Raw genomic sequence first — 14,611 nt, forward strand, 5'->3', positions numbered from 1 at the left:
CCTGGACTCTGCCTCTGACCTCACCCCTTGGAAGAACTGGCTGGGTTCCAAAACTTCAGCCTCTATGTCCCTGGGTTCCCACACACCCTAGTTTGGATCTAGGTCTCCAACACAGCAGCCAAACACAAGAGAGTCCAGAGCAGTTGCTAATGTGAAATAAAAACAATTCAACAGCCCAGGGAAAGGAGACAGGACTTCTTTTTCCATTGGATTCAGAGAACTCCTTCTCCTTTTCCTTCTCGATCCCTAATGGGAGTTAAGGATGGCAAGCGCCTGGCCCTGCAAAGCCTCAACTCTCTACTTGGCTCCGCTAGACCCATCAATCTTCTCTCCATGGCCTGGGACCCCTCCAACCCTGGACGTCGAGAGAGACTCGGCAGCTGTGAGAACCTTCTTTCTCAAGTAAGGTTTTTTTCCAAAATTATATCAGGTTTCCTTCTACCCCAGCTTGTCAGTGGGGGACTCTTTTGCCTAACATGGTTGAGGAATGTCTTAGAAACTGGTGTGATTCAATCTGGCTTCTGATGAGGTTTTCCACCCAGACAGAGCTCACCGAGTGTCTGGAAGTGTCGGTTCCCTACACCCAGGGGCATCCACACCCTGTCCCCATCTCCAGACCTCAGTGAGGAGGATACCCTTGACAAAGTGGCTGGTCCAGCCCTACGATGAAGTTGGATCCAGAAAAAGAGCCAAGAGGAAGCCAAAAGGACTTGCCCACACACTTGCATCCACGGGGGCCTCCCTCCTACCATGTCCCCTCTTTCCCCCAACTTTCTAAATTGGTGAATCTACTTGCAACACACCCAGTATAAATAATTGAAGAGCTCCCGATGGAAGTGGCTCAATAATTGAAATCTCAAAAGGCACACACCTTTCTTTTAGAAGAGAGGGCCACCTCATTCAGACTTCTCCAGGGGAAGTCGTTCTTCCCCTCATTCCTTTTCAGACTGGCCTCCTTCTACAAATACAGATTTTAACCAGAGGGTAATTGTTAGAAAGTGCAGTTTGCAAAAATGTCAGTAACCTGAATGCCAAGTTTACTAATGAATTGTGACTAGGCTGTTGTTAGTGCCGCCACACTCTCACCTGAAGACCCACAATCTCCCCTGGACAGAGGGAAACTGGCTGTCCCTCTGTTACTGCTCAGCTACTGCACTGAGGTGGGGTGGCACCAGGGGGACTGGCATGAAGGTCACATGAGGGGAGAGTTCCTTTTACATCTCAGAAGTCTCTTATTATAAGGATCTGCCAACTGCAAGGAGAGAAGAGCCCTGCAGAGCAGAGGGACCTGCCAGAGCGCTGCAGGCATCAACTTTGCTGGCGTCTTGGAAAGACGCCCCACGTCTCCATAACAACTAACCATCCAGCCCTTAGCACTGACAGGGATGGAGACCTTTTTTGGAGGAGCAGATCCGGAAGAAAGGTCAGGTGGTTACCTGAATCCCAAGTCTCTTTGTTTTGTTTTGTTTTGTTTTTCTCCTTTTGCAGCTGTTTTTCTTACTAGAAGCTAGGCAGAAAGAGTTGTTACTCAGATTTCTTGAACTTGAGACGTCAAAGGTGAGACGCCAGCCAAGGAGAAGGGATGGTCAGGGAAGCTTCTGGGGATACCGACAGTATTTTATTTTTTGAACTCAGTGGTAGTGACACAAATTTTCTATAATAATTTGCTATTTTGTAATTTTTCATTTTATAGACTTTTCTGTCTATACTATTTTTTTAAAGTCTTTAAAAAATAAATTGGGCAAACTGCTCTTCAGGGACCCATCGTCATTGCCAGCATTTATTAAGTATCTTCTGGCACAGGACAGAAATCAGTCTGCAAATCACCCTGTGTCACAGCCCTGGAAAGCAGGACTGAGAACCAGAAAACTTCAGTGGAAGTCATTGGTCCCAGTGGCCAAAGCACCAAACTGAAGAAGAAAGTGAAGAGGTCAGGGGCAATCACAACAAGTCATAGGATCAATGGGCTAGAGGCCCCAGAGAACTTGTTGATGCAGTTTGCTGTTATCCCAGCTTTAGAGCTCTGCCTATAAACAAAGTCATAGAGAGGGGAATGTGATTCATGATTTGTACCTGCCTTGGAAGGGCCTGAAGTGAATTGGGGTACGCAGGGCCCTGGCCATCAGTGAAAGAGTGGGTCTTCTGCTGCCCTGCTGATCCACTGCTGAGGGTAACTCATGGTCCCAGCACAGCCTTCACTGAACTGTCAGGCACATGAAGCAATCAGGAGTCTAGATTGAGTTTCCAAAACAGGAGCACCTCTTTGCTCTCTGTAAGCCTCCACTGATGGCTCATGCCAGCCACATGGCTCCCCTAGCCTCCCCTGCACCCACCGGAGGCTGTTAATAGACCTGTCATTGTGCTCATGTTGGATTAATGACCACTGTTCTCCTTCCCAAATCCTACACATTGTTTAAGAGAAAGCCTAAACGCTGCCTCTGCCATGAAGCCTCTCCAGACCTCTTCAGTAGAGCTAACGTCTCCAGGGCTGTTTGCTCAATACTTCCTTTCAGGTATCAGTCCCCTCAGATATCACTTGTTTCTCTGCTTATCAGTCCTCATTACATTCTAGTCCAGTGGCTACATCCATCAGTCTCCCGGCTAAGAACCTGAGGTCAGGAGCCAGGGCTTATTAATTCTTATATTTCATAGCATCTAGCACTGGGCCTGGTGGATTTGTAGCAGGTGTGCAACAAACAATCAATATTTATTAATATATCAGGGTCCAAGAGCACAGACCCAGTAACCAGGAAGGAAGGTTCTTTAGGTTGTCAGAGAACACAAAGGGCCTGGCAGGAGGGAGGCCAAGCATCACAGAGAACCTTCACCTTTCAAATCTACCCACTTCTCTCCATCTCAGCTTCTCTCCCCTGGTTGACTCCTAAGCTTCATAATCATTTACATTGTATCATGCAATGGTACAATTCCCACTTAGTTCTGCCCCTCATTCTCCACACTGAAGCCAGAGAGATACCACAAGGTTTCTATCAGTCACATCATGCCTGTGCTTAAACTCTTCTCAGGGACTCCCCCTTGCTCTTAGGCAAAAGTTAAGGCCCTCAGCATGGCCGTCGAAGATGCTCTGGCACATCTGGCCTTTGCCAGGCATCTGGCCACATACTGAAATACTCTTGGCCTCACCTCCCTTAATCCACAGCAATACTGGACATTCTTGCATTCCTTCAATGAGCACTCCTCTTTTCTAATTCAGGGATCTGCATGTCCTAGGTTTCCTTTTCCTGTAACAACCTTCTTCACACAGTCATATTCCAGATGTCCTACTCATATTTAAGATCTCTCCCCAGGAAGCCTTTCCTAACTCACCCTCCACCTCCACTCCACCACCACCATTGCTATCAGTCAATAAAACCTTCCAATCATGTGGTCTTTGCACTGCTCCTTCATAACACTCAAGGCATTTGCAAGTACTTGTTCAGGGCCTCTTTGCTTCACTAGACTAGAGGTGGGCAAATTGTTTCTGTAAAGGGCCAGATAGGAAATATTTTAGGCTTTAGCATATGGTCTCTGTTGCAACTATTCAGCTCTGTTGCTGGGGGGCAAAAGTGGCCTTAGACAATATATAAACAAAGGAGTGTGGTTGTATTCCAGCGGAATTTTATTTAGAGACATTGAAATCAGAATTTCATACCATTTCATGTTTCATGAAATATTCTTCATTTAAAATTTTTGTTCAACTATTTAAAAATGTGAAAACCATTCTTAGCTAATGGGCCATACAAAAACAGATGGCAGGCCAGACTTGGCCCACAGCCTGTGGTGTGCCAGCTCCTGCACTAGACTATCAGTTTCCTAGAGACGGAAGCCACGTCTTGTTCACAGATGTATCTCTCCAGCACAGTGTCTTGTTCTCACAAGGCGGTTCATAAAAATTCACTGAATGCCTTGATATGTGGACTAGAGCCATGTTTCCCAGTGTAAATTCACGGAACACCAGTCTGATGGGAAACTCCATACAAAAGGGACACTTCTCTTTGCAGTGAAATCTGGAAATGCCATCATTCCTCTTCTAACAAATGTTCAATGCTCACTGCATACAGCATAGCAAAAGCTCAGAGATAGCCTTCAGTCAAGGAACCTGTTCAACATAGACCAATACAATGCTGCCCACACTCATTTTGACCAAATAACTTTCTTCTTTAACCCAAAATATCTGCCAGTGTCCAAGGGCAGCCCCACTGAAAAGTGATGCAGTGAGGAGAGACGGCAGAATTTAGAGGAATGGGTCTCAAACTTTAGTGTGCATCAGAGTCACCAGGAAGGCTTATTAAAATAAGAAACTACCCCAGCCCAGAGTTTCCAATTCAGTAGGCTTAGGTTGGAGCATAAGAATTTACATGCCTTACATGTTTCTCAGCTGACGCTAATGCTGATGGCTAGGGGAACCCCGTTTTGAGAAACACTGATCTGCAGAATAAATGATTTCAAGGCTTCGGTCCTCTAGCTGGAGTTTGCTCCTCCATCCAAGGATCTTATTCCCAGGTGAACTCCAACTTGTCCACTTTCTCACACTGGCAGTAGCAGCTCTGACCCATCTTTCTAGTCTTAGGCACCTGTAATGGGTTGCAGTGTTTTTTTCCAAAAGATTTGTTTCAATAGTAATCCCCAGTTCCTGTGAAGGTAAGCCTTATTTGGAAAGAAGGTCTTTGCAGATGTAATCAAGTTAAAATGAGGTCATACTGGAGTAGGGTGAGCTCCTAATCCAATATGACTGGTGTCCCTAGGAGAGGAGGAAAGAGACACACATAGGGAGAACGCCCCATGACCAAAGAAGCAGAGACTGGAGTGGTGGCTGCAAGTCAAAGACTGCCAGCCACCAGCAGAAACACGGAAGATGCAAGGAAGGAGAAACCCTACAGGCTTCAGAGGGAGGCTGGCCCTGCTGACATCTTGATTTAAGCCTTCCAGCCTTCTGAACTGTGAGACAATAAATTAACATTGTTTTAAGTCAACCCCGTTGTTATGGCATCACTAAGAAACATTCTAGTCCAAGGACAGATAAAGCTCTGGCCAAGGCCTTATTCTTGGTAGGTGTCCACATGAACTCTGAAGGAGGAAGCCACGATGTCAGCTGTCTGTTCCCTTTGTCATCACTGCTAGACAGTGGGTGTCTGCGCTGGGGTCTGTTTTTGGAAATTAGATTATCTAATTAATGTGATGTTTTGTTGGATCCATGCCTTAGGGCTGGATTTGGCAAAAAGCATGTGATTATTTTTTACTCTTAAAAAAATGTCACTAAATAAGATAAGGAGACTTGGCTTTGCCCTATCTTGGGCTCCACATGTCCTGTTTCTCACTGAGAGACCCTGGCAAGGAGTTTCTCAGTGACAAAGAAATGGTTTCTTCTCCTCTAGTTCTGAGCTATAAACACCTTCTCTAATCGACATAGAAACGGCTAAGCAGTAGATATTTTCAGTCAGAGTACCCCAGTTTTAGTCATAAATTATATGCCTCTCCTTTTGGAAATATAAGGGGTATAATTTTTATTCTTGGGCAGACATAGTCCTGTGCCCGATACCTTAGGAAAGAGCCAAAAAGAGAATGTGGACACAGCTTGTCATGGTGGATGGAGAGGAAGGAGACACCAGGGGTAGGGACTCTGTATTCTGAAGCTCTGAGGCCACAGGATGAAAAATCAGAGCCAAGTGAATGCCTTCTCTGCCTCTCCAATCCATGCCAACCCAGGGCTGGCTGCTCACATGGGGTCTGCACAAACTTGAAAATCTCCAGATGTTTTATAGGGGGGACAAAGCCACGCTTTCTGCTGCAACAGACTGTGAGACTTTTAGGATGCTCACCCCAAGGCCCTTGAAAAATGAGAGAGGGGTCTGATTCTTTGAGATGGGTAAGGCAGAGGCACCCCGTGGAAGTCAAGCATTCCTTCTCTCTTCCCTCCCAAGGCCAGCATGTAATTTCAAATGTCCAGTCCATCCATGAACAATATGTTAGCCTTTGGCCAGGCGGTGAGCTTCCAAAATGCAAACATCTCAGCCTCTGTCTGCAGAGGTGAGAATTCAGCTTGGCAGAGGAATGGGACACTGTCAAGGAAGACAAGCTTTTGGAGTCAGACAATCCCAGGTTTGCATATTGGCCTTGTTTTGTTGGTTTGTTTTGCTTTGTGTTAAAATCTAATTTATTCTGCAAACTACAGCAGGTTAGTTAATCCTTTGAAACCTCAGGTTTCTGAGCTATAATACAGGAATAATTATAAGTGCTTTGCAGCAGATTTGTGAGGATTCTGAGAGTTGTTGGATGTGTCTAGCACATTCCTTCTAACTTATAAAGCATTATATGCCAAGTATGAATCTAAGTAATGCACATGCCCTAATCTTTTCCATCCTTACAACTATTTATAGCACTGCCCCCATATGGCAAATGAAGGCTCAGAGAGGTCAAGGCACCTGCCCACAGTCACAAAGTCAGTAAGCAGCTGATTCTGGAGCTGGTGCTCTCACCACAGGGACTGCTATATACCCATAGTGGAAGCCTGGGGCTAGGAATGAAGATCTGTGTTCATTCATTCATTCATTCATTCATTCAACAATTCACCTGGGCATCTCTGAGAGAGGATTACTCACAACAGGTTCTCAGACAAAAAAAAAAATACAATCTCTCCTTCCAGGAGTTGAAGATCTCTCAGGGGAAACAGACAAGTACCCAAAACTAAATCAAGGTAGAATATGACACCAGGGAGGAAGAGAGTATGGCAGAGGACCTGTTAAATGGCAGGAACAGACTGATTTAATGAAGGTGGTGGTATTTCTGCTGAGCCTCAAAGGATAGGCATGATTTTGACAGATGCACTCAGCCTGGTTCAGTCCAAATTAGGGCCCCCTTGTTCTTTCTCATCACAACCCATTCATTTCCTTTGTTGGACTCACTGTGATTTTAATTTCACAGCTATTTGCTGATTTATTTGTTCAATGCTGGTCTCCCACACTAGACCATGAGCAGGAAGGAGAGGCAGCATGCAACTGTGCTCGTTGTCTACACAGGGCCTAGCACTGGGCCTGGGCCAGGGCAGGCACCTGGGAGGTATGTGCTGAATAAATGAATGGATGGATGGGTGGATGGATGGGTGGATGGATGAGTGGATGGATGGATGGATGGATGAGTGGATGGATGGATGGATGGATGGATGGATGGATGGATGGATGGATGAGGATATAAGTATTGGCAGGCTGGTGGCAGCTTGCAGAAGGAGAGCACATTATCTATAAACACATTGCCCCGATTTATTTAACATTGTAGTCACTCCAAATCTTGGTTACCCTCACCTGAATTTTCTCTTTTGGGGGAAGTTTTACACAACCACCCCAGTTTCCCTAAATGCCCCCTCCCTGGATTCCTGCAGCACTTGAATTTAGGCTTCTGAGCACTGGTATCTCCCCAAATAGATGAGACTCCCCATGTGGGCAGCAGCCCTGCCTTCTCCTTCATGTTTGTCCACAGTGCTTGGGTGAGATCTGGACATGTAGCCCACACTCTGTTGAAACCTGCCCATGGCATGCAGCTGAGGGGCCCTGCCTTCTCCTTGTCCTCATTTATTGCCATCAGTCAACCACCAATCATCCCACATCGACCCCAGAGGCATTGGTCTTGGGGTCTCCCTGGTGCGGCAATGTGGGCTGCCTTCCCAGCCTTGTCCAGGTGGCAGGACTTCTGCTGCTGACAACAGGGCTGTGATACTCAGCTCCCCAAGGCTGAACTGGATGACTAAGAGTCCTAATGATTCTGGTATTTTTTCAGGACCTGTCTCCAAAGGCAGGAGGACATTTAAAAATGCATGGGTCTCTGCTAGGTGACACATCCTGCTTAGGAGTCTGCTGGCCTCCAGTCTGGGACAACAGAGCACTTCAAATAGGCACCTGTGTTCATCGCGGTGCTTTCTGTCCACACAGGGCCTTGGTTTCTGAGGCTGAGAGAGGATAAGCTAAGCAAGGGGCAGAACAGGACACCAACCATCTCCAGACCCCAGTACAACACAGATGGCAGGCCAAAGAGGGACTGTGTCGTCTGATTCAAGAGTACAGACTACACAGCCAGAATAATCGGGGCCTGGCTTGGACTCTCTTTAAATATTCATTCCTCATCTGTAAAATGAGCATATGAGTCCCACTTCACCAGACTGTAGGACATACGTGAAGGACTCTGCAGTGTCTGGAACATATTTATGGCCCCTGAAATAAACAGTTATTGATGACAGAGATGAAAAGAAGAAGATCCAATGGAGTAATCTTCAAGGCCTGCTTCAAGTCTTGCCTTGGTAAAGCTTTCTATTGGGCACTCATATAAAGCTTATATGACTTTTTTTTGTATATAACAGACATGTATATATGATGACTGTCTACTGGGTATGGTTCTGAGCACTCCCTAAATAGTAACTCATTGAATCCTCACAACAAGTTTATGTAGTATGTACTATTATTATGCCCATTTTACGGATGAGGAAAATAGGCATGAGGGGTTAGGTGAACGACTCGAGGTCACACAGTTATAAGAGGTTGAGCTGGGATATAAATCCAGACAGTCTGCGCTAGAGTTCGTGTTAGTTAAAGATGGATACAGTGTGCTGCTGTTATTATTCTTGTAGATGTTGACTATTATAGTCTCTTGTCTTGCGGAGCAGAGCTAGTCTCTCTCCCACTTTCTTGACAAATGGTAGGGGCCTCCCCTATAACATCTCTGAAGCCCCTGCAGCACTTCATAGAGCCAGTCAGAGTGAGTTTGCTGACCCACTTGCCAGGACTTGCTGTGCCCTCTGCCTTCTTCAAGGCATCCCCAGCAGAGCCTTAAAGGGCAAAGCCTGCACACCTCCCTCTGCAGCACTGCTGCATGCCCCACCTCCTTCCAGGGCCACGCTTTCCAACTTGTGACCTGGACCCAAAGTAAGAAATACATTTTACATCGTGACCCACACATACCTACTATACAAGTAATTGCAACACAGGATTCATGAAACAATACCTACACTATTACATGGAATGTACTTTGATATCCTGTATTTTTTAACATTGATTACAACTCACTAAATTGATTTCATAATCCACTTAGAAAATTCCTCTTAGGGGAGTTCAGCTCCAACATCTAGCACATGCAATTTCTGAGTGCAGTGCACAGCAATTCTTCCCAAAGGCAGCCCTTCCTGGTGCACATCAGCATCATGGTGCTGTCCCAGCCCAGATGGTCACTTATATATTCCCCAGAGCCCTGAGCCTGGCTGGAGCACCCAGGCAGTGGAAAGTCAATACAGGCTGGGAATCAAGGACCCATTCAAAACAATGCTCACAGCAGACACAGAGTGAAGAGGCTTGCTTTAGAGTATGATAGAACTGAGCTCAAATCTCACCTCTGCTAGTTACTAACTCAGATGTTATTGGACGGGTTCTTAACCTCTGTGAGCTTCAGTGCCCTCCCCTGGAAGGGGGCACTATCAATATGCACCACAGAGGGTGTTAGCTGAGATGTGGAGATGACTTGGCACAGCACCCAGATACAGATACTGAATCAGTGCCAGTCAGTGGTGGTGGGAGGTCTTTGCTAACACCTCACAAGGGCCTTCCCTCCCCTCTCTTTTTGTCTCTATATTTAGAGATTCTACAACCTTCAGAAGAAATAGCAGTACTTCCTAGCACATAGGTAACACTCAACAAATGTCTGAACCAATTAAGCAAGGGCCCAGGCTTTTGCCCAATAAGTCATCCAATCCTGAGCATCCATCCATTCATTTATTTATTTATTTATTTATTTATTTATTTATTTATTTATTTATTGAGATGGAGTCTCGCTCTGTCACCCAGGCTGGAGTGCAGTGGCATGATCTCGGCTCACTGCTGCAACCTCCACCTCCCACGTTCAAGCAATTCTCCTGCCTCAGCTTCCCGAGTAGCTGGGACTACAGGTGCATGCCACCACGCCTGGCTAATTTTTGTATTTTTAGTAGAGACAGGGTTTCACCATGTTGGCCAGGATGGTCTTGATCTCCTGACCTTGTAATCCACCTGCCTCGGCCTCCCAAAGTGCTGGGATTACAGGTGTGAGCCACCATGCCCAGCTCTAAGCATCCTTTTGAAGGAAGATGTGTTTTATAATCCCTTCTAAATTCAGTGGCCAATAAAGTCTGCTCCGTGAATTACACTCATTCAATCACAGCTGATATCTCTAGATCAAGGACAATGCCCCTCTCTACAGGTGGGAAGACAAAACCAGGAGGTCCCAATGTGGCTTCTCCAAGGTTCCCCCAAAGTTACTGTCAGTGCAGAGCTGGGGTGACAGAGCCCCTGCTCATCACTGCCTATGTTGCCTTCCAAGAGAGAAGCAAGTTGCTCAATAAATAGCTCATCACCCTAAAAATAACGAGGTCTCTGATGAGACTTAGTCTCTAATGAAACTAAGCACAGGACTGAGGGGGTGAAGAGCAAGCAGAAAATGGATTTCCACCATGGGCTAGACTGTTCACGTGGCCCAGTGGTGGAGAGAATCCTTAGGGAAAGCCTAACTCCGAAGCCCAGAGAAGGAAGGAAAACTAATAAGGAGTGTGTTTTGCAGGCTGATTTTTCTGAAGTTATCCATAGGAAAATTCATTTATGTGAGAGGCTAATTAGTCATGACAGTGCTTTGCTCCAGACATAATTGCATTGGTCCCATGCAGTCTCTGTGGGTCAGCCTGTAATGGAATTTCCATTACCTATTGTGTTTTGGTTACTGGAGAAAAATGTGTGATTGGGGAAGAAAGAGGGATGAAGAGAAAACATGAAAGGCTGGAATACCTTGAATATCCATAAAAACCATCTGTGATTTTAAAACTTCATAAAGATGATGGATCTCTAAGAGCCAGATAGTCTTCTTGGAATCTGAGCTCTGTCTGCGGGAACTGCTCCTGGCAGGCAGTGGGTTTTGAAATCCAAGTTTGTCAGACCACAGAGCAAAGCGAGCTGCCCCAGCTTGGCCACTAGGGGTGGAAACAAGACCCAGGAAAGGGAGACTAAATGTTCTTCTCAACTAGCCACCAGCTCTCAGGCTGCCAGGAATGCTGGGCTGTGGTAAATGAATATATAGATATATAGATATATGGGTCTGGTGCCAGAAATGTGCAGGTCTGCAGGGATGAGTATGAAAGGCCTCACCTCTCCTGCCTTCTAGAGAATAATATACAGTTCAAGAGCCAAAGATGCCTGAGGGTGAACTGGTATGCCAAGTTCGGAAGGGTCACCAAACCACCTAATCCCCCAAGTGTTAGAGCCAGGAACAGAAGGGGGTTTTAAGTTCAGGGTTTCTCAACCTCAGCACAATTGTCACTTTGGCTAGATGGATAAACTTTTTGTTGTGGGAGGCTGTCCTGTATATTGCAGGAGGTTTGGCAGCATCCCTGGCATCTATCCAGTAGCTATTCTCCTCCATTCCACCCCCATCCTTAATTGTGACAACTAAAATGTCTCCCAACATGGCCAAACGTCCCCTCGAGGGCAAAATCGCCACCATTTGAACATCGCTGGTCTACCCTTACAATTCCCAAAGTAGAATTCCAAGGAATATTAATTTCATAAGCTTCTCCCCAACACAAGTATTCTATGGTCAACTAAGTTTGAGAATCACTGCATATTGTACCCTCTTTTGGAAATTCCCCATAGTAGTCTATTAAAGGCCCTAAAAAGTTCTGCAATAAGAAGAACACTATTTAATTGTTTTGTTTGACCTAACATCTTGCAAGCTTTCTCAAACAAAACCCCTTTATTCCTATATTTGCATCTTTCAGAGTTCCTGTTCCAAAGAATATTGTGATTTATATATATGTTAATATGTATCTATCATATATGTATATATATGATATATCAGGCAACCCAACCTTTCCATTGAACAAGAGGAACTGAAGCAATAAGCAAGTCAGGGTTCAAAATCCTACTAAGAGATGAGTGTCAGAGCCATGCATAGAAGCTGAAGTCCTGATTCCCAGTCTACCTCCTTCTCTTACACAAATGATTTAGATTAATCCTCAAGAAGATACAAGATACAAGAAACCATCCTCTCACAGCCATGTCACAATTTGGTTTGTGAAAGGAAAGTAAAATCTTGGGACCCTCAACTCACTATGCCAAAAGAAAGAGTGAACTTTGTCATGCAAAAGCTGCTTTCTCTTTGTTCCTAAACAGATTGCTGCAAGAGAGAAGGTCACCTATCTCCCCAGGTAGCCTCTCTCACCCTGACAATGTATCTTCACAGGTAAGGGACAAAGACAAGACTAGAAATCATCCCTCTGCCCACCTCAAGACAAATGCAGATCTGACTTCTTCTTCCTCTACTCTATGTTTACTTTATCTTATGTAAAATACAAGATTTACTGAGCAGGAGCCGAATGCACTATTGAGTGTCCCTCTTTTTGCTCCTTCCCACTCTCCTGCCTTTAAATACTGAAGTTCTCAAAACCCTCTTTGGAAAAAGCACAGGCCACAGAGTCTACTGTAGCCTTTATCTCTTTTTCCTGGGCTCATCCTCAACCTTGGCAAAATGAACCTCTAAATTGATTGAGAACTCTTTCAGACATGTTTTGGTTTATAGGCTCCACCACCACCATCCAGAATACTCACCTAGGAACAACGCCTAGTGAAACATCAGCATTTCTGTTCCCCAGGAGAACAGACAAAGCAGGCACTTTTTGCAGACATAGTTGAGAAGGACCTCACAGTGGTCATAACAAGGGAGGGTGCAAGGAGGCGCCATCCACTTACATCATGTCCATGCACCTGCTAATCTACTATAAGTACAACTCCCATGAGAATCACTAAAGCTGATTCGTCTTTGTATCAATGCAATACATCTTTGTATTGTGGCGAGCACAGAGTGGGCCTCCATTAAGTTAGGTGGAAGGAATAAACTGTTAGGCAACACATGCTAAGGACTTGTCCATCAACATGCCTTGATTATAATTCACAGATCGTCACCAACACAATAAAGCCTCCCCAATCCTCTCTGTCCTCTTCATGATTTTCTTGGGAAATATTCTACCCTGGCCTCTCCAGGCTGCAGGGAACTACTCCTTTTAGGATGGCAGCTCCCCGCTTCCCTGACACATCTACTGTCATCTCTTCACTTGCGCCAGTTCAGAAAGATAAAAGATCAATTTCCAGCTCAGATCAGCCAGCCCAATGTCCCTCCTGAAGACAGTACATCAAGGGACCAGTTTCCTATCATTCTAGGTAGAAAACATGCAGTGACTGGTCATTCAGTCTCTTGATGGTCTCTCTTGCCAAAAGCAGGCACTGGAGAGGCCATAGATTGGCTCCCATTCTCAGATTGCAAACAATAGAACTAATATTGACAGAGAAACTGGATGGTATGACATTCTACAATTTTGCATGGGGATTGAAATGTAATCATACCTTGAGGCCTCTGGTATTCCAGGAATCCTCTTTCAGCCCTGGGAACAGAACAGTGTCCTAGGGATTTCTCTAATCCTTTTATGACATTCTAAGCAGAGTGTATGGATGCAGGAACAGCCAAGAGTCTCAGCCAGAGGGCAGACCTGGGGCCCCCTCTTGGTTTACCTTGGCTCCAGCCAGTCCAAAGAATACACAGGCAGCTTGCAGACCACTGAGTTGAGACTAAGGGCTCAGCCCTAGGGCAGCTGCAACACAAATGCAGCAGCAACTGCTAGATATTTGCAGCATGCCCCTGAAGTCTGGTCTGTTGTAAAAAAAAAAAAAAAAAAAAAAAAAAAAAAAAAAGGCCGGGAGCGGTGGCTCACGCCTGTAATCCCAAAACTTTGGGAAGCCGATGCGGATGGATCACGAGGTTAGGAGATTGAGACTATCCTGGCCAACATGGTGAAACCCCATCTCTAAAATATAAAAAATTAGCCGGGTGTGGTGGTGCACACCTGTAGTCCCAGCTACTCGGGAGGTTGAGGCACGGGAATCACTTGGACCCGGGAGGCAGAGGTTGCAGTGAGCCAAGATCGTGCCACTGCACTCCAGCCTGGCGACAGAGCAAGACTCTATCTCTGAAAAAAAAAAAGGCTCACAGCAAAGGGTGTGGAGGTTGGGATGCTCAGCTTCGGGGCAGGAGAAGCATACAGCAAGCCTCTCACACCTGCAGGACTCCAGGCTCCCAGAGCCACAGCTGCACTCTACCTCTCTCCTTTCCTTTCCCCTTCTGAGCACCTTCGGGTTACTGGGATAAAGTAGTGCTTAATGAGAGGCCAAAGGGACTTTGCCTCCTTGAGGCTTTTTGATTGCTTTGCACAAAACTCATAGAATCACCTTATGTTCCTTCACTTAATCAGTCACTTATGAGCACTATTCTAGGCACTGCGTGAGGCTGGGAAGGCCCTGCTCACCTGTTACTCTTACTCTGTTATGCTCTTCGTAAAATCCATCAAAAACAAGCAGTCATCCTGCTTCTCTTATTTCCCCATTTCACAACTGTGGAACCCAAGTACAGCCATCCAGTGTCAGACTCATGAACTTCAGAAGCAGAAGCCTGAAGATGAGCTTTGGAGTCACTGTCACAGCAACAAGCCAACTGGCATGCAGAAATGAAGAGACTCACTCAAATGAGGGACCTAAATCCCTTCTATGGTCAATGAGAAACAGAGGCC

The 14,611-nt window shown here is 45.7% G+C and overlaps 1 protein-coding gene across 54 annotated transcripts in view; it reads right to left on the bottom strand.

Moving 5' to 3' along the window:
- Positions 1-14,611, bottom strand: part of KCNMA1 (potassium calcium-activated channel subfamily M alpha 1) — a 768,207-nt gene that overhangs the window by 548,375 nt on the left and 205,221 nt on the right. The window contains exon 1 of one of the 54 annotated variants that reach the window (XM_024447986.2): positions 872-13,704. The exons of the other annotated variants lie outside the window; for them this stretch is intronic. The gene's annotated coding sequence lies outside the window, so the exon portion shown is untranslated. Of the gene's footprint in view, positions 1-871; positions 13,705-14,611 lie in introns of those variants that run through there. 54 annotated transcript variants of the gene reach the window in all.

The sequence above is a fragment of the Homo sapiens genome, chromosome 10 (assembly GCF_000001405.40).
Source record: "Homo sapiens chromosome 10, GRCh38.p14 Primary Assembly".
Classification (NCBI taxonomy): Eukaryota; Metazoa; Chordata; class Mammalia; order Primates; family Hominidae; genus Homo; species Homo sapiens.